The sequence below is a fragment of the Homo sapiens genome, chromosome Y, assembly GCF_000001405.40.
Source record: "Homo sapiens chromosome Y, GRCh38.p14 Primary Assembly".
Classification (NCBI taxonomy): domain Eukaryota; kingdom Metazoa; phylum Chordata; class Mammalia; order Primates; family Hominidae; genus Homo; species Homo sapiens.
The window spans coordinates 12,259,996-12,280,920 of record NC_000024.10 but is presented as its reverse complement, the minus strand read 5'-3'; the positions used below and the strand labels follow the sequence as shown (position 1 = coordinate 12,280,920).

The window sequence follows — 20,925 nt, the reverse complement described above, 5'->3', positions numbered from 1 at the left end:
ATGTGTCATGAGGCTTTGCTTATCCCATTTTCTAATAACCCAATGGTGAGCCAAATCATGTGCCTAAGCTTGGGGCAAGAGGACCCTGTAGAAGAGCCCTGTGGCCAAGATGTGGATGGAAAAAGGGGTAAATTATCGGGCGATCATTGCTGCAATCTGCCACTGTCATTGTGTGATTGGTGCTGCACACCAACCATAGGGGACAGTGTAGGGAATTTGGGGGTGACAGTCCTTTACCTCACATTGCTTGAAGAGGAATTCAGATAGATTTAGAATATGAGAGGGAGTCAATGCACCATAAAAAAGCATGAAAATGTGGATAGCTTCTAGGACCCTGAGGCAGCACTCCTTTTGTGGGCTCACTGGCTGCGAGGGATCTGTTCCTGCAGACCCCTGATTCAGCGGCAGATGAATAAACGTGCACTGACACACAGATATTCTATTCTGCCAGTCCGGCTGAGGGTCCTAGCCACTTACAGACTCCCTGCTGAGTCTGGTAAACAGTTGCAGTTCCAGCATTGAACAGGTAGTCAGACTAACATTTATTCAGTAAGATTAATTAACAAAAGCTTGAGTCAATACCATTAGAGGGTAATTGACATTGTGGACTTCCAAAGTAAAAAGCACTTAAGCACCCAGGGTACATCAAAGGTTAATTTTAAGATCATGAGTAAACAAGCTAGCTAGATAGCTTCCCCACATCCCTGGTGTTTACTACTTTAATCTATTTAAGTAAAGTAATGGGACCAGGCCACTTTCACCGAAGTCATGTGAAAACTCTCAGGCCATCCAAAAGGGTTTTGTGGCTATGATAACTAATGTTTTTCCCACCAGTCTGATCGAATCTCAGCACAGCTAAGAGAAACTGTAGCTCACAGCCAGTAAGGAAACAGAGACATCAGTCCTACAACCATAAGCAACTGAATCCTCTCTACCATTTAAATATGCTTGTACGTAGACACATCCTCAGAGCTTTCAGTAAGGAGCACACCTTGCTAACACTCTGGCTCCAGCCCCCTGAAACCGAAACAGAAAACATGGCTGTCCCCAGACTCTTGGCCCACAGAAACTATGAGATAATGCTGTGTTGTGTTAATTTCCTAAGTTTGGGGTCATTGTTTCCTGTAGCAATAGAAAATGAGTTCACAGTCTAAAGACAAAATATATTTTCATTAAATTTGCAGTCAACCTGTATTTTCAAGTATCTGTAGTCATTGGGTCTATTCTCTTTTTTCTTTTTTGACACAGTCTCACAGTCACACTGCCCAGGCTGGAGTGCAGTGGTGCGATCTCAGCTCACTGCATCCTTGACCTCCTGGGCTCAAGTGACTGTCCTGCTTCAGCCCCTCTAGTACTTGGGATTACCGGTTTGAGCCACCGTGCCCAGCTAATTTTTATAATTTTAGTAGAGAAGCAGTTTCACCATGTTAGCCAGGTTCGTCTTGAACTCCTGGCCTCAGGTGATCTGCCTGCCTTGGCTTTCCAAAGTGCTAGGATTACAGGCATGTGCCATGAAACCTGGCCTTTTTTTGGCTATTATTCATAGTCCGATCTTGTTTTCTTCCACCCGATAAGGTCAGCTACTACATTAACCAATTCTATATTATCTAATTTCAAGTGAATTACAAGGACTGGTCTTACTGATCTTACCCATATTTCATCCTTGTGTATGGTTGCCAGACATGTTAAAGGACTCCTAATTGGATTTGAATTTCAGATAAACAATGAACTTTTGTTTTTTCAGTATAAGTACCTCAGGCAATGTCTAGAATGTACTTGTACTAAAAAATTGTTCCTTGCTTAATGGGAATTTGAATTTCCCTGGGCACCCTGAAATTTTATTTGCTAAGTCTCATGGCCCCATTTTAGTGGAATTCTAGATTGTATGTTATAGGATTATCTCTTTGGTAATGTTGGAGTGCCAAAATCAACTCTGAGGGGGTTGTATTCTTTAATCATGACTTCTTAAGGTCTCCTACTTTCTAGAAACCTAGAAAGTGCACAGGAGGCCAGGTGTAGTGACTCTGCTTGTAATCCCAGCTTTAAGAAGTCCAAGGTGGGATGATCACTGGAGGCCAGGAGTTCAAGACCAGCCTTGCCAACATAGAAAGACTTCATATCTACAAAACATTAAAATATTCATCAGGCATGGTGGTGCGTCCCAGTTCCTTGGGAGGCTGAGGTGGGAGGATTGCTGCAGTCCAGGAATTCAAGGTTGAAGTGAGTTTTGATAGCACCACTGCACTCCACACTGGGCAACCAAGCAAGACCCTGTCTGAAAATAAATACATACATACATAAATACATAAATAAATAAATTTAAAGAAAGTGGGCAGGAAACAGAGGAGACAGAAGGTGGTTTCTACCCTATCTGGGTCTAGAAGCCAGGATCAGAGTTGCAGCCAGAAACAAGGGAGAGAGTTGGTTGGAGAATTTTGCTTTTGTGGTAGACTGCCTTGCCCCAGCTTTTTGGTGTGAAAGCCATAACTTGGTTACAGAAGGGTCCCTACTCATGGCCTGACTTGGTTGCTCCTTTGAGATTTAGCCTTTCCATGGGGTATCTCGTACTTTTGGAAGGCATCAAATACCCCTGTAGGAAAGTATTAGAGACTCAATGATGTCCTGCAGAGCCCCTTCCAGTCCTCCCTGTTTGGCAGGGAGTCTTTCTCAGCATTGCCAACCTTGTTGAATTTTTTTTTTTTTTTGGAGATGAAGTCTCATTCTGTCACCCAGGCAGTGGCACCTTCTCTGCTCACTGCAGCCTCCAACTCCCGTGTTCAATTGATTCTCCTTCCTCTGCCTTCCAAGTAGCTGGGACCAAAGGTGCATGCCACCATGTCCAGGTTATTTTTGTAGAGATGGGGGTTTCACCATGTTGGCTAGGCTCATCTCGAACTCCTGGACTTAAGTGATCCACCCACTTCAGTCTCCCAAAGTGCTGGGATTATAAGCATGAGCTGCTGCACCCAGCCTATGTACTGGACATTTTTTCAGAGACACACTGTAGTTTCTCAAGGAAGAATGCCTGTTCCTGGTCCCAGCTGCACACTCACTTTATAGTGTATGCTGTACTTGGTCAAGTATATTGATATTGAAACACAAGCCAGAGTGGATGGACCTTGGTTATAAATCATGGGGCAGCTCTCCTTCACTGTCAGATAAAATCCAAATTCTCTATTACTACCTCCAAGGTCCCAGCATTGATGATCTGTTCTTTTCTTCCTGAAGGGACATCACCCCTGGTTCTTAGGGGGTCTCCTCACAAGCTTCTTACAAATGCCTTTCCTCAGGAAGGTGGCTCCACAATGACCATTTTCTTTATTAAAAAATTTGCAGCCTACAATCAGCCCCCTCTATTATTATTATTAATTGTTATTATTATTATCATTACTTGAAATGGGGGAGGGTCTCACTATGTGGTCCAGACTGGTTTCAAACTCCTTGTCTCAAACCATCCTCTTGCCTTGACCTCCCACAGTACTAGGATGAGAGGTGTGAGCCCCCGCGCCTGACTAAGTGTCCTCTTAAAACCCATGAAGTCTTTTAGCGCTGTCTGCTTTTCTCTATGGAATTCAAATCGCTAAGCATTCATGAAAGTTTAGATAAGCTGGCAATAAATCCAACCTTTAGGATCAATGCATGAAACTGCTCTTTTTTTTTAAGACAGAGTTTTGCTGTTGTTGCCTAGGTTGGAGTGCAATGGCACAATGTTGGGTCACTGCAATCTCTGCCTCTTGGGTTCAAGAGATTCTCCTGCCTCAGCCTCCTGAGTAGCTGGGATTACAGGCATGCACCACTAAGCCCAGCTAATTTTTTTGTATTTAGTAGAGATGGGCTTTCACCAAGTTGGTCGGGCTGGTCTTGAACTCTTTACCTCAAGTGATCTACCCACTTTGGCCTCCTAAAATGCTGGGATTACAGGCGTGAGCCATTGCACCCAGCCAAAACTGCACTTAAAATCCAATGTTTGGCTGGGCATGGTGGCTCATGCCTGTAATCTCAGCACTTTGGGAGGCCGAGGCAGGCAGATCACCTGAGGTCGAGAGTTTGAGACCAGCATGACCAACATGGAGAAAAAAACCGCATCTCTACTAAAAATACAAAATCAGCCAGGCATGGTGGTGCATGCCTGTAATCCCAGCTACTTGGGAGGCTGAGGCAGGAGAATGATTTGAACCCAGGAGGCGCAGGTTGCAGTGACCCAAGATCACACCATTGTCCTCCAGCCTGGGCAACAAGAGCAAAACTCTGTCTCAAAAAAAGAAAAAAAAAATCCAATCTTTGCCCCAGTTCCTACTTTTGGGAGTGAACTATGCCTATTTCAAACTATTGCTGAGCAAGATTGCCTGGTTTCTGCTTCCCCTCATCCCTCTTCTTCAAGTTAACCAGTCAGGAAGTGTAAAGAATGATCAAGGAAACCTCCAAGTTAACACAGAAATATGTATATATGGTGAATGCTGTCTACATGCAGCTTATGGCCCCATAGTCCTAGCCATCATAGCACATGGCAAAATTGTCCTATTGACTCTGCTGTCAGCCTCTGCATGGAAGACCAAATAAAGGTGCTGGGACAGAAGGATGAAAAGGAATCCTAGGATAAATATCTCATCTTCATCGTCCCTGGGTTGGATAATTCTGAGGGTCTCTCGCTGAATCTCAGTGTTTCTGCACAAGACTCAGCTTCAATAGCCCAGTGGCAAGCTGCTTCATAAGTACAATCTCTACTGGCTTCCTGCCTTTCCCTGTCTCTCTTCCTCTTTCCCTGATCAATGCTGCCTCAATTACCTCCCTAATAAACTACTTGGATTTAAGGTTTGAAAAAAAATGCAGCATCATTCTTTTTGACTAAATTTTTAATTAAACAAATTTTTTTTGAGATGGGGTCTTGCTCTATTGACCAGGCTGTAGAACAGTAGCGGAATTACAGCTCATTGCAGCCTCAAACCCCTGAGCTAAAGTGATCCTCCCACCTCAGCCTCCTGAGTAACTGGGACCACAGGTGTGTGCCACCATGCCTGGCTAATTTTTGTATAATATTTTTTGTAGAGACAGGGTCTTTCTATGTTGCCCAGGCTGGTCTCAAACTCCCAGGCTCAATCAATCTGCCTGCCTCAACCTCCCAAGATATTGGGATTACAGGTGTGAGCCACTGTGCTGGGTCGCACCATCATTCCTTTTTTTTTGTTTTGTGTGGTTTTTTTTTTTTTGTTTTGGAAATGAAGTTTCCCTCTGTTGCCCAGGCTGGAGCACAGTGGTGCGATCTTGGCTCACTGCAAACTCCATCTCCTGAGTTCAAGTGATTCTCCTGTCTCAGCCTCCTGAATAATTGGCATTACAGTCATGTGCCACCGCACCCAGCTAATTTTTGTATTTTTAGTAGAGACAGGGTTTTGCCTTGTTGGCCAGGCTGGTCTCAAACTCCTGGGCTCAAGCCATCTGCTTGCCTCAACTCCCAAAGTGGTGGGATTCCAGGCATGAACCACCACTCTCGGAGGAAGCATCATTCTTAATTTCAATGTCTAGTCTAGACATTTAAAATAATTGAACATATTGGATCGTATCAAAACAACATCTTGTTGAAGAGAATGACCCTCTCCACCCAACCTGAAACAGATGGAGGCAGTGCTGACTTTATCTCAATCTTAAACAAAATCTGCTTCACTCAATTTTCTTGTAGACAGGCCGACTGCTTTATTAGAAAACGGGAGAACATTGATCTTTTTCTATGATTCTCTTCCGATCACCCTAGGTAGAATTCCTTTCACTTTCTAACCTGTGTCTGTTTCAACCCAGGATACATTAAGCTTGTTGTCTGTGACACTTTATTGAACTTTTTAATAGCCACGACTGACACTGATCCTCTCTGCTGAGAGAGGAGCTATTCTGATTCCATTCATTGTGACTCCAAAGTCTACCCTGGAAGTCAGATGCTCAGCTGGGATTTTATAAATATTCCATGAACAAACGAACTTTGGCTTTGGGGTAAAAGAGTCAGTTGCCCATCATTTGATAGATCCCTGGATATTTTTTCATAAAAACACCTCAGCAAGTTGCTTATTGCAAAATGACATGTGTCATATCCTCTATGGAGCTGAATATTGTTAAGCAAAATTTATATTAATGAGAAGCAAAAAAAATTTGTCTGTTTTGCTTCACTTCAGCAAGAATTATCTCCTGCATCACAAATGCAGGGAGCACTTTTGTTCTTTATTAGCGTTTTTTTTTTCCCCAGAAACTCTGACATTACTAGGACACTTGGTCATCTGTGATCTGCTTAAAATCTCCCTTCAGCTCCTGGAAGAGTGAGTGGTTCTGATTCTATTTGAGTGAGATGGTTTATGGAGCCCTCTTCATCCCATAATTCTGAAGAGTAACAGTCAGAACGTCTTATTAGGAGGCAGCTGAAATCGTCTAGGGAATGTGGCTAGGGAGTATCATCATCTTTACATCAAAGGCTATGCACAGATAACACGCCAATCTTGATTTCACCCATGAGAAAAGTGAACTCCAAGAATTTCAGGAATGTAGGCGTGTGGATGATAAACATTGCATTTATTACAATTTCACTTTATTTCCTAGAAGAGGGAACATTATATTTCCTGGCCAGATGCTAACCTTTGAAATAAATGCAAACTTTGATAAAATAGACCTGCTATCATTTTCCTTAGGGGAGCTTTATCCTCACTGGGTCACTATAACCAGCACGACAATGAAGTCTTTCATGTATTTCTTGTCCTACTGGAAAAAAAAAACAACATAGAAAAGCTATGTACAAGGACTGTATTAAGATTCATCTATGTCTTTCAGAGATGGCAGGCAAGTGCCATTTCTGAACAATTTGGGTGAATTCAGACACAAGCACCCTACCCCGACAACAACTCAATGGACGCCAGAACATTGCAAATCATGACCTTTAATAGGGCTGCCTTTACACTGCTCAAGAAACAACACCTGGTTTGGTCAAAGGTTTGTTCCTTTTCAATGTGTGTTCTACTGTTTTCTTTTCCTGCCCTTATGACAGTTGTGTGCATTGGCATTATTGCATTAAATAGACATGACTGATTAGATAGCAGGAACCAAAGTTTAGAATTTAGCTAAGTGTGGCTATGCTACTGTTTCTTTTTTCTTTTCTTTTTTTTCTTTTTTTTTTTTTTTTAGGAGATAGGGTCTTGCTGTGTTGCCCAGGGTGGGGTACAGTGGCTATTCAGACATGTGATTCCACCACTGATCAGCACGGGAGTTTTGACCTGCTGCCTTTGTGACTTAGGGTGGTTCACCTGGCCTTAGGCAGCCTGGTAGTCTTCTCCTCCTGGGAGTCGCTGAACTTAGTGCAGACATCCGATCAACATGGTGCACCATAGCCCAGAACTTCTGGGCCCAAGCGATCCCCTGCCTCAGTCTCCTCAGTAGCTGGGACCACAGGCATGCTACTTCTTGCTTTTGTCAACATAAAATGGACTCAGAAAAGTCAGAACATATCAATATCAGTAAATCTAGACTGGGCATGATGGCTCACACTTATAATCACAGCACTTTGTGAAGCCAAGGCAGGAGGATTCTTTGAGGCAAGGAGTTCAAAACCAGCCTGGGCATCATAGACCTCATCTCTACAAAAAAATAGAAAATAAAAAAATTACTCACGTGCAGTGGTGCATGCCTGTAGTTCCAGCTACTCCAGAGGCTGAGACGGAGGATCTTTCAAGCTTAGGAGGCTAAAGCTGCAGCAAGCTATTACTACACCACTGCACTCCAGCTTAGGTGACAGAATGAGACCTTGTATCTAAAAGAAAAAGAAAAAAAGAGATTAGTAAATTCTTTAGAAACCAAGGTTTTACCATGAGCAGTTGCACGAAGGTGGAAAACCTTTTTGTGATTATAAGTAGGGATTCTGAAAGAAGTCCTCAGAGTGAATACTCATTCCATGGAGAAACAGAATGAATCAAGAGAGTCCTGGAAGCTGGGAGGAGAGGAATCTGTGGAAAGCAGAGTCACTTAACTAATTCACCAATGAGACTGCAAACCAATGGTCATGGAGCTGCCATGGAAATCTGAATTACAGACACTTTTATTCTTTGTATTTTATTGCTTGGGTTGAAAATGTGGCCACGCGTGGTGGCTCATGCTTGTAAACATAGCACTTTGGGAGGCCAGGGCAGGTGGATCAGCTGAAATCAGGAGTTTGAGACCAGCCTGACCGACATGGTGAAACCCCGTCTCTACTAAAAATACAAAAATTAGCCAGGCATGGTGGTGGGTGCCTGTAATCCCAGGTACTTGGGAGGCTGAGGCAGGAGAATCATTTAAGACCAGGAGGCAGAGATCTTAGTGAGCTGAGATAGGGCCACTGCACTCCAGCCTGGGAAACACAGTGAAACTCTATCTCAAAAAAATGCATGTGCCCTTTGTATGTAAATTTTCATTCTAGGGAATAAGTTCACATCTCCTTAACATATATTCTTTTGGTGTTTTTAGACAATTCCAGTTCAGAATTCCTCTCCAAGTACTTTTACCTGAAGAAATCTGCATCTCTGGTCTGATGCAAGATCTGGTTTCCAGGCTGGGCACAGTGGCTCATGCCTGTAATCCCAGCACTTTGGGAGGCCAAGTTGGGAGGATTGCTTGAGCCCAGGAGTTTGGGACCAGCTTGGGCAACATAGTAAAAGATTATGTAAAAATACAAAAATTATGTAAAATACAAAGATTTTGTATTTTACAAAAATTATCCATGGACTGGCGGGTGCCTGTAGTCCCAGCTATTCAGGAGGCTGAGGCAGGAGTATTGTTGAGCCTGGGAAGTTGAGGCTGCAGTGAGCTATGATCACCATCATTGCACTCCAGCCTGGGTAACAGAGAGAGAGAGAGACTCGGTCTCAAAAAAAAAAAAAAAAAGAAAAAAAAAAAGAAATCTGGTTTCTAGAGTTTACGGAATCATATAATAGCATGTTTAATGGAGTGTTCCATCTCACAAAATGGTGTTTTGTTGGGAGACAGTTATGTATGCCCTCTGATATTTTCAAATCTTTATTTAAAATGCTGGGAGAGTTACTATCTGGCTTTCCATCTGTGCTGTTTAATATAATAGCCATCCATTTGGGGCAGGGTGTTGATGAACAGTATACCTACCATCTTCCAAATTATTGCCCACACTTTGTCTTGTTGAATATTATTAAGATATAACGACAGGGAAGACCTTCCATTTCTGTCCACCCCACCCACACCTTTAATTGGAAGCACAGATGTCCCTGAGGCACTGCTATAGACCATGAGGTCACCGCAACGCAAGGGACATCAAACGGGATTGCTCTGGCTCAAAACAGCCAGTCTTGATCCTGGTGTGATGAATGGCTTTGGTGGTTGTCACAGATAAGAACATTCAGCATCAGCAAGAAAAGCTGTAGGTGTTTCGCTGAATGTAATGTTTTGTTGTTGGTGTGCTGTTTTTTTTTTTTTTTTCTTTTCCTGGATGCATAGTAGGAATTGCAAATGCGGGGCGCAGATTGCCTCATTTGCACATTATCAAGATGAACAATCTGGGTAAGCCTAGCATGGACCAGCCCTCCCATAGAAGAGGGAGGTGAGATGGAGTGGCTAATGCTTTCGTAATGATTCAAGGCAGCTGCCAGAAGAGGCAAAGCCTTTTCAGAACAGCCTGTCTGTTCTGTTCATAGACATTAGAGAGAAAATACAACTGATAGGTGAGTTGGGGAAGGCTTGTTTGGACACATTTTCTTAGTCTTTTTTTTTTTTTTTAACCTCTAGTTGAAATGGGCAGAGTTGAAAGATCCTTTGACCTATTGTATTCTGAAACTCAATGGATCAGCTTAGGCATTGAGAAATTGATTCTAAATCAATTTTAGTGTAGGTAAGTTTTCTCTCTGTTACTCTCATACCCTTTCTTCTTTCTTCTCTCCCTCCCTTTCTTCCTTTTTCTTTCTTAACCAAGAACGTATGTGTTAAATGGTGCTAGGAAAACTGGCTAGCCATATGTAGAAAGCTGAAACTGGATCCCTTCCTTACAACTTATACAAAAATTAATTCAGGATGGATTAAAGACTTAAACGTTAGACCTAAAACCATAAAAACCCTAGAAGAAAACCTAGGCATTACCACTCAGGACATAAGCATGGGCAAGGACTTTATGTCTAAAACACCAAAAGCAATGGCAACAAAAGCCAAAATTGACAAATGGGATCTAATTAAACTAAAGAGCTTCTGCACAGCAAAAGAAACTACCATCAGAGTGAACAGGCAACCTACAAAATGAGATAAAATTTTCACAACCTACTCATCTGACAAAGGGCTAATATCTAGAATCTACAATGAACTCAAACAAATTTACAAGAAAAAAACAAACAACCCCATCAAAAAGTGGGCAAAGGATATGAACAGACACCTCTCAAAAGAAGACATTTATTCAGCCAAAAGACACATGAAAAAATGCTCATCATCACTGGCCATCAGAGAAATGCAAATCAAAACCACAATGAGATACCGTCTCACACCAGTTAGAATGGAGATCATTAAAAAGTCAGGAAACAACAGGTGCTGGAGAGGATGTGGAGAAATAGGAACACTTTTACACTGTCGGTGGGACTGTAAATTAGTTCAACCATTGTGGAAGTCAGTGTGGTCATTCCTCAAGTATCTAGAACTAGAAATACCATTTGACCCAGCCATCCCATTACTGGGTATATACCCAAAGGACTATAAATCATGCTGCTATAAAGACACATGAACATGTATGTTTATTGTGGCACTATTCACAATAGCAAAGACTTGGAACCAACCCAAATGTCCAACAATGATAGACTGGATTAAGAAAATGTGGCACATATACACCATGGAATACTATGCAGCCATAAAAAATGATGAGTTCATGTCCTTTGTAGGGACATGGATGAAATTGGAAATCATCATTCTCAGTAAACTATCACAAGGACGAAAAACCAAACACCGCACGTTCTTATAGATGGGAATTGAACAATGAGAACACATGGACGCAGGAAGGGGAACATCACACTCTGGGGACTGTTGTGGGGTGGGGGGAGGGGGGAGAGATAGCATTAGGAGATATACCTAATGCTAAATGACGAGTTAATGGGTGCAGCACACCAGCATGGCACATGTATACATATGTAACTAACCTGCACATTGTGCACATGTACCCTAAAACTTAACAGTATAATAATAATAAAAAAATGCGAAAAAAAAAGAACGCACGTGTGTGTGTGTGTGTGTGTGTGTAGTGTGTGTAGTATGTGACCAGAGTATCCATGCTTTGGAGCAAAATGAGTTTAAGGAGGAATGAGTTTATATTTTGTCCTTAGTGTTATTTTAAGGTACAAATATGGGTAGTAACTTGCAGACTACAGATGGGCTTTTCTTTCATTGTAATGCATTTGGCTGTATATCCCTTAGTCCTAACCCCTCTGCCACTGCCAATTAAATACAACCATTAGTCATTCAGTGGTTTCTGCATTTTGCAGTCAAAAAAGAGGCAGCTCATTTTGATTAATTGGCTCTTTCTTTATTCAGGACACAGAAGCTTTCTGAGTTTAAGCTTTTAGGCTTGGCAGGACATTGAGACAATTCTCTTGTGCCAGCATGTTGCAGGGCAGGTTTTGCCACTGAGAAAATTCATCCAAGAGCCCCAGGGCTTGGGGCAGCAGGAGTTCTTTTAAAAATTGGCCAAAAGACCGGCAGAACACTTGAGGTCAGGAGTTTGAGACCAGCCTGGCCAACATGATGAAACCCTGTCTCTACTTAAAATACAAAAATTAGCCTAGCTTGGTGGTGCATGCCTGTAGTCCCAGCTACTCAGGAGGCTGAGGCAGGAGAATCACTTGAACCCAGGAGGCAGACTCCATCTCAAAAAAAGGGTCAAAATAATGAACTCATTAAGAGTTCAGGATTCGTGCAGTAGTGGCCTCAGAAAATCAATTTTAAAATGTTGGAATTAGGTGGAATTAGGGATATGGCTCCCAAGTCTAGTGAGAATTTCATGCTGGAAACTAATTTAATTGACACATTTTTTTTTTCTTTTTAATCCTGTCTATGTCTTCTGCCAAAGACAACAAGAAGGTACTCCGAGCTGCACAATCACGCCCAGATAGATAAAGCCATATATGGAATTTTGAGCACATTGAATTTAATGTATAATTCTCTGTATTTGTGAATCCAGCCTCACAGGTAGAGACATTTAATATCATCTGCCTTTTGTTCTTTTTCATGTAAACTACTATGTGTCAACATGCTGTCTTTATATGGCTGGCCATAAGATGTCTAAGTTCATTCTCTTTGCTTAATAAGTGTGTGAATTTTTTTAAAAAGGTAGGAGAGAGGTAATTGATATAAATATAAACTGTAAATTTCCAACAGATACATATGAGTTTATGTTTATTTTTATTTATTTTAGAGACAGGGTTTCACAGGGTTTTGCTCTGTCACCCAGGGTAGACGACAGTGTTGAAGTCATAGCTCACTGCAACCTCCAACTCCCGGGCTAAAGCGATCCTCCAGACTCAGTTTCCAGAGTAGCTGGGACCCCAGGTGCTTATCACCAGCCTAGCTAATTTTGTATTTTTATTTTTTGTAGAGATAGGTTCTCATTATGTTGCCCAGGCTGGTCTTGAACTCCTGGGCTCAAGGAATCCTCCTGCCTCTGCCTCCCAAAGTGCTGGGATTACAGGTGTGAGCCACCATTGTGCCCAGCCATATATATGATTTTAAAATATGGTAAAAATGGGGTGACAAAAAAATTCAACTAACTTTGCATAGATGAAAAGCATTTCTATAACTTTGGGGATTTGGCCCACAGTCCTGAGCATGTAGCTTTTGCCTGCAAAACATTCTTAATCTTCAAGGAGATGTTTGAAAAATTGTAGGCCGGGTGCGGTGGCTCATGCCTATAATCTCTGCACTTTGGGAGGCTGAGGCGGGTGGATCATGAGGTCAGGAGATCGAGACCATCCTGGCTAACATGGTGAAACCCTGTCTCTACTAAAAATACAAAAAAAATTAGCCGGGCATGGTGGTGGGTACCTGTAGTCCCAGCTACTTGGGAGGCCGAGGCAAGAGAATGGCATGAACCTGGGAGGCAGAGCTGGCAGTGAACCAAGATCGCATGACTGTGCTCCAGTCTGGCTGACAGAGCGAGACTCCATCTCAAAAAAAAGAAAAATTGTAATCATCTGTGGCTATCATTGTCTCAGAGTATTTACAAAGGACTCTGAGAGACAATAGGGATGAACTCCTGTTTGTGTTTTTCCTCTCAGAGGAGATATTTGAAGTGAGTTTTGAAATAAGTATAGAGACGAGATAGGGATTGAATCAATAATCCCATGTCCAATATTCATTACCTGATAACTGAGTAGGGATATGCTGAGAAAAGTGTCATGTGTTTCCTTAAGAAAATATGACCTCAGCCAGGACTGAGCAAAACTATGAACTGGACGCAGTGGTCCTCAAATTCCATGTTTCTTTCTTTTCCTCAATTCAGTTCTTTCCTCAGCTTCCACTTTTCCTTTACTTGGTAATTCCTTATTATATTACCTTTTGCTTGTCTTTCCTTTCTCCAACCAAAGCTGCTATCCCTACAGTTTTTTTTTCTTTTGAGGGTCTTGTTCTGTAGCCCAGGCTGGAGTGCAGTGGCACAATCTCAGTTCACTGCAGCCTTGAGCTCCCAAGCTCAAGCGATCCTCCCACCTCAGCCTCCAGAGTAGCTGGGACTACAGGCATGCATCACCATACCCAGCTCATTTTTATATTTTTTGTAGGGATGAGGTCTCACTGTGTTGCCCAGGCTGGTGATGAACTGATTATCCTACCTCAGCCTCCCAAAGAGCTGGTACTATAGATGTGAGTCACTGCTATCTTGACAGGTGAAGCCAGCTAGACTTCCTGGGTTGAGTAGGGACTTAGAGAAGTTTTCTGTCTAGCTAGAGGATTGTAACTACATCAGTCAGCACTCTAAAAATGCACCAGTCAACACTCTGTAAAAATGCACCAATCAGCGCTGTATGTCTAGCTAAAGGATTGTAAATGCACCAATCAGTGCTCTGTAAAATGGGCCAATCAGCACTCTGTAAAATGGACCAATAAGCTCTCTGTAAAATGGACCAATCAGCAGGATGTGGGCGGGGCCAAATAAGGGAATAAAAGCTGACCATCTCAGCCAGCAGTGGCAACAGGCTTGGGTCCCCTTCCACGCTATGGAAGCTTTGTTCTTTCACTCTTCACAATAAATCTTGCTGCTGCTTACTCTTTGGGTCCACACTACCTTTATGAGCTGTAACGCCATGAGGGACTGTGGCTTCATTCCTGAAGTCAGCGAGACCACGAACCTATGGGAGGAACTAACAATTCTGGATGCGCCAAGTTTGAGAATTGTAACACTTACTGAGAAGGTCTGTGGCTTGACTCCTGAAGTCAGAGAGACCACAAACCCACCGGAAGGAAGAAACTATGGACACATCTGAACATCTGAAGGAATAAACTCCAGACACACCATCTTTAAGAACTTTAACACTCACCACGAGCATCTGCAGCTTCATTCTTGAAGTCAGTGAGACCAGGAACCTACCAGAAGGAACCAATTCTGGACACATTTTGGCAACCATGAAGGGACAATCACCAAGTGGTGAGTACCATTGGGTCATTTTAACTTGTTATTCTGTCCTATTTTTTCTTAGAATTCGGGGGCTAAATACCAGGCACTTGTCGGCCAGTTGAAAGTGACTAATGTGGCCACCAGACTAAAGACACGGGCGTCAGGCTTTCTGGGAAAGGGCTCTTTAACAACCCCTGGACCCTTGGAGTTGGGAACGTTGGTTTGCCTGGAACCAGCTTCCACTTTCCCTATACTTCTGGGCAGAGCCAAGGGTCAACAGAGAGGAAAACCATTCAGCTCTGAGGTCCTGACAACAAATTGGTTGACCCTGCAGCCATGAGCGGAACTCTTGAAGTCACGTCGCCCAAGTGAGACTTGCACATCTATCCTGACCCTTGCATCCTGAGTCCTAATGCCTGTCAGACAAACTTCCTCTTGCCTCTCTTCTACAAGTCTAGTCCTGCTTCTAAAAACCATTCCCTGTCTCTGGTACTTTTCTAGTTTCTCCTATAAGAATGATTTCTAGATAAACTTCAGGACTCTGTTAACTTCATTAGGCACCCAGGCTTACCAATCAGAAAGACATACCTTTAGCCCAAAATCACACTGGGGCAGAGGACTTTCTGGAATTTTCCCTCCTCAGACTAGCAGGCCTAACAAAAGCTATTCCTGAAGGTAGGGTATGGGGAGCTTCAGAAATGGTATCTTTCCTATTCATATAAGTGAGGACAAAAGGCATCACTCTTCCAACTCTGGAGATCCTTTCCCTCCCTCAGGGTATGGCTCTCCACTTCATTTTTGGGGCATAACATCATTATAGGACAGGGGTAAAGTCCCAATACTAACAGTAGAATGCTTAATGCTTAGGACCCTAACAGGTTTTCGAGAATGTATTGGTAATGGCTACTAAATCCAACTTTTCTTGGTCCTCTTTGTGGTCTAAGAGGACAGACAAGGGTGCAGGTTTTTGAGAATGCATCATTAAGAGCCACTAAATCTGACCTTCCTTGGTCCATCTTGTGGTCTAGGAGGAAAAGTAGTGTTTCTGCTGCTGTATTGGTGAGCACAACTATTCCAATCAGCAGGGTCCAGGGACCATTATGGGTTTTTGGGCAAGAGGTGTTTCTGCTGTTGTGTCAGTGAGCACAACTATTCTGATCAGCAGGGTCCAGGGACCATTGTGGGTTTTTGGACAAGAGGTGTTTCTGCTGCTGTGTCAGTGAGTGCAACTATTCTGATCAGCAGGGTCGAGGGATCATTCCAGGTTCTTGGGTAGGGGGAGAAACAAACAAACCAAAACCACAGATGGTTTTGTCTTTCAGATGGAAAACACTCAGGCACCAACAGGCTCACCCTTGAAATGCATCCTAAGCCATTGGGACCAATTTGACCAGCAAACCCTGAAAAAGAGGCAGCTCAATTTTTTCTGCAGTACAGCCTGGCCCCAATATTCTCTCCTTGATGGGGAAAAATGGCCCCCTGAGGGAAGTATAAATTACAATACTATCCTGCAGCTTGACCTTTTCTTTAAGAGGGAAGGCAAATGGAGTGAAATATCTTATGTCTCAGCTTTCTTTTCATTGAAAGAGAATCCACAACTATGCAAAGCTTGCAATTTACTTCCCACAGGAGGACCTCTCAGCTTATCCTCATCTACTAGCCTCCCTATAGCACCCCTTCCTATTGATGATAAGCCTCCTCTAATCTCCCCTGCCCAGAAGAAAACAAGCAAACAAATCTCCAAAGGACCACAAAACCACAAAAAACCCCAGGCTATTGGATATGTCCACTTCAAGCTGAAGGGAGGGGAATTTGGCCTAACCTAGATACATGTCCCCTTCTCCCTCTCTGATTTAAAGCAGATCAAGGCAGACCTGGGGAAGCTTTCAGATGATCCTGATTGGTATATAGATGTCCTACAAAACTTCATTCTCACTTGGAGAGATGTCATGGTATTGTTAGATCAAACCGTGGCCATTAATACGAAGAATGTGGCTTTAGCTGCAGCCTGAGAGTTTGGAGATACCTAGTATCTTAGTCAAGTAAATGATAGAATGACAACTGAGGAAAAGTGACAAATTCCCTACTGGTCAGCAAACTGTCACCAGTATGGATACCCACTGGGACCTCAACTCAGATCATAAGGACTGGAATCACAAACATCTGTTGACCTGTGTTCTACAAGCACTAAGGAGAATTAGGAAAAAGCCCATGAATTATTCAATGATGTCCACCATAACTCAGGGAAATGAAGAAAATCCTTCTGCCTTCCTTGAGCAGCTATGGAAGGCCTTAAGAAAATATACACCTCTGTCACCCAACTCACTCGAGAGTCAACTGATTCTAAAAGATAAGTTTATTACCCAATCAGCTGCAGATATGAGGAGAAAGCTCCAATAGTGAGCCTTTGTCCCTGAACAAAATCTAGAGGCATTATTAAACCTGGAAACTTCAGTGTTCTATAATAGGGACCAAGAGGAACAGGCCAAAAAGGAAAAATGAGATCAGAGAAAGGCTGCAGGCTTGGTCATGGCCCTCAGACAAACAAACCTTGGTGGTTCAGAGAGGACAGAAAATGGAGCCAATCACCCAGTAGGGCTTGTTACCTGTGTGGTTTGAAAGGACACCTTAAAAAAGATTGTCCAACAAGAAACAAGCTGCCCCTTTGCCCATGTCCACTATGCTGAGGCAATCACTAGAAGGTGCACTGCCCCATGGACAAAGGTTCTCTGGGCCAGAAGCCCCCAAACAGATGATCCAACAACAGGACTGAGGCCTGGGGCAAGTGCCAGCTCATGTCATCACCCTCACTGAGCCCCAGGTACATATAAACCTGGAGGGCCAGGAAATTGACTTCCTCCTGGACACTGGCTTGGCTTTCTTAATGTTAGCTTCTTGTCCCAGAAAGCTGTCCTCAAAGTACGTTACCATCCAAGGAATCCTGGGACAGCCTGTAACCAGGTATTTCTCCCACCTCCTCAGCTGTAACTGGGAGACTTTGCTACAGATAGTAAGTATGCTTATCTAATCCTACATGCCCATGCTGCAATATGGAAAAGAAAAGTTGTTCCTAACCTCTGGGGGAAGACCCATTAAGTATCACAAGGCAATCATGGAGTTATTGCATGCAGTGCAAAAACCCAAAGAGGTGGCAGTTTCATACTGCCAAAGCCATCAAAAGGGGAAGGAGTGGGGAGAACAGCAGCATAAGCAGTTGGCAGAGGCAGGCAAAGACCAGCAGAAAGGAGAGAGAAAGAGACAGAAAGTCAGAGAGAGAGAGAGGAAGAAACAGAGAGACAAAGAGAAGGAGACAGACAGAGGAAGAAACAGAGAGACAGAAAATCAAAAAGAGAAAGGAAGAGACAGAGTCAGAAAGACAAAGAGTCAGAAAGAGACAAAGAGTCAGAAAGAGAGACAAAAAAGAAGTCAAAAGAGAAAGAAACAGAAATGGAAGTAGTAAAGAAAAAACAGTATACTCTATTCCTCTAAAAGCCAGGGTAAATTAAAAACCTGTAATTGACAATTGAAGGTCTTTTCCATAACCCTATAACACTCCAATGCCACCTTGTTTTCAGTGTAAACAAGGATGTAGCCCAAAAGCACTGAGGCCACTGACAACCCATAGCCTTCCTATCAAAAATCCTTAACCCAGAAAGTTTCCTAATGGAATCTAAATCTTAACTAATTACCATACAAAGGTCCGACCAGACCTAGGAGGAACTCCCTTGAAGACAGGACAATAGAATGATAGATGGTTCCTCCCAGGTGATTAAGGGAAAAAGACACAATGGTATTCAGTAAGTGATAAGGAAATTCTTGCAGAGTAAGAGTTAGGAAAATTGCTTAATAATTGGTCTGCTCAAGGGTGTGAGCTGTTTGCACTCAGCCAAACCTTAAAGTACTTACAGAATCAGGAAGGAGCCATCTATACCAATTCTAAGTTAATATGGACTGAACAAGGTCTTATTAATAGCAAAGAATAATTGAAATCCCAAACTTACAAGATTTTCAACAAAAGTAAGTTTGCTAAAAGTTAACAGTATAACATGTATTATCCTAACTTCTAATCTTATGGAAATCAGAACTTATCACTGTCCCTCAAAGCTCAAGTCTGTCAACACAGAGCCATACAACTAATATCCCTACTTACAGGGTTAGGAATGGCTACTGCTACAGGAACTAGAATAGCTAGTTTATCTACTTCATTATCCTACTACCATGCACTCTCAAAGGATTTATCAGACAGTTTGCAAGAAATAAATAAATCTATCCTTACTTTACAATCCAAAATAGACTCTTTAGCAGCAGAGACTCTGCAAAACCACCAAGACCTAGACTTCCTCACTGCTGAGAAAGGGGGACTTTGCACCTTCTTAGGGAAAGAGTGTTGTTTTTACACTAATCAGTCAGGGATAGACTAGATGCTGCCCAGCGTTTACAGGAAAAGGCTTTTGAAATCAGACACCTTTCAAACTCTTATACCAACCTCTGGAGTTGGGCGACATGGCTTCTCCCCTTTCTAGGTCCTGTGACAGCCATCTTGCTATTACTCACCTTCAGGCCTTGTATTTTTAACCTCCTTGTCAAATTTGTTTCCTCTAGAATCGAGGCCATCAAGGTACAGTTGTTTTTACAAATGGAACCCCAAATGAGCTCAACTAACAACTTCTACTGAGAACCCCTGGACCAACCCACTGGCCCTTTTGCTGACCTAACGAGTTCCTCTCTGGAGGACACTATAAATACAGGGCCCCATCTTTGCCCTATTCAGCAGGAAGTAGCTAGAATGGTCATCACCCAATTCCTAAGTTGGGGTGTCCTGTTTAGAGGGGAGATTGAGAGGTGAAGCCAGCTGGACTTTGTGGGTTGAGTGGGGATGTGGAAAACTTTTCTGTATAGCTAGAGGATTGTCATTGCACCAATCAGCACTCTGTAAAAATGCACCAATCAGCACTCTGTGTCTTCCTAAAGGATTGTAAATTCATCAATCAGAACTCTCTAAAATGGACCAATCAGCACTCTGTAAAATGAACCAATCAGCAGGATGTGTGTGGGGCAAATAAGGGAATAAAAGCTGGCCACCCGAGCCAGCAGTGGCAACCCGCTTGGGTCCCTGTCCACACTGTGGAAGCTTTGTTGTTTCGCTCTTCACAGTAAATCTTGCTGCTGCTCACTCTTTGGGTCTGCACTATCTTTGTGAGCTGAAACACTGTGAGGGTCTGCAGCTTCATTCCTGAAGTCAGTGGGACCATGAACCCACTGGGAGGAACAAACAACTCTGGACATGCCACCTTTAAGAGCTATAACACTCACTGCAAAGGACTGTGGCTTCACTTCTGAAGTCAGCAGGACCAGGAAGGAGCCCACCAGAAGGAAGAAACTACAGACACTTCTGAACATCTGAAGGAACAAACTCCAGACACACCATCTTTAAGAACTGTAACACTCACCATGAGGGTCTGCAGCTTCATTCTTGAAGTCAGTGAGACAAAGAACCCACGGGAAGGAACCAATTCCATACACAATCTGATGTTTTAAAAATTTCGGGTAATGATAAATTGCATGTATTTATTCTTTTTATATTATTAATATTTTATTTTTATTTATTTTTTCTTATTTTAAAATTCAGTTTTCTTTTTAATTTTTTTCCTTTTTAAATTTCTTTTTCTTTTTTATTGTCCTTTGGGTAAAAAAACCCTGACATATAAACATTGCATAGATTTTTGGTGTACAACTTGATGTTTTGAAATACGCCTGCCTTTTGGAATGGCTCAATTATGCTAATGCACATTACCTCATCCACCTACCTATTTGTGATGAGAACACTTTGAGTAGATTTTATCAGTAATTTTCAACTCTAAAACACATTCTTATTAACTACAGTCAGCACAAGTACAATAGATTCTTTGAACTTACTTCTTCTGTCAAATTGAAATTTTGTATCCTTCGACCAGCATCTCTCCAAGCCCCCCACTGCTCTCTGAGCTCCTAACAGGCATCATTCTACCCTTTCCTTCTATGAGATCAACTTTTTGAGATTCCACATAGAAGTGAGATCATGTGGTATTGGTGTTTCTGTGCCAGGCTTATTTTCCTTAGCATAATAACCTCCAGGTTTATCCATTGTGTCGTAAATGACAGAATTCCATTCTTTTTTAAGGCTGGGTAGTATTCCATGATGTATATGTACCATATTTTCTTTATCCATTCATCCAGTGATGGACACTGAGGTTGATTTCACAGTTTGGCCACTGTGAATAGTGCTGTAAGGAACATATGCACTGACACACCTTTAAATTAGAATAAAAATTCTGATT

At 42.5% G+C, this 20,925-nt stretch overlaps 1 pseudogene; it reads right to left on the bottom strand.

Moving 5' to 3' along the window:
* Positions 7,159-7,428, bottom strand: RN7SL702P (RNA, 7SL, cytoplasmic 702, pseudogene; annotated as a pseudogene).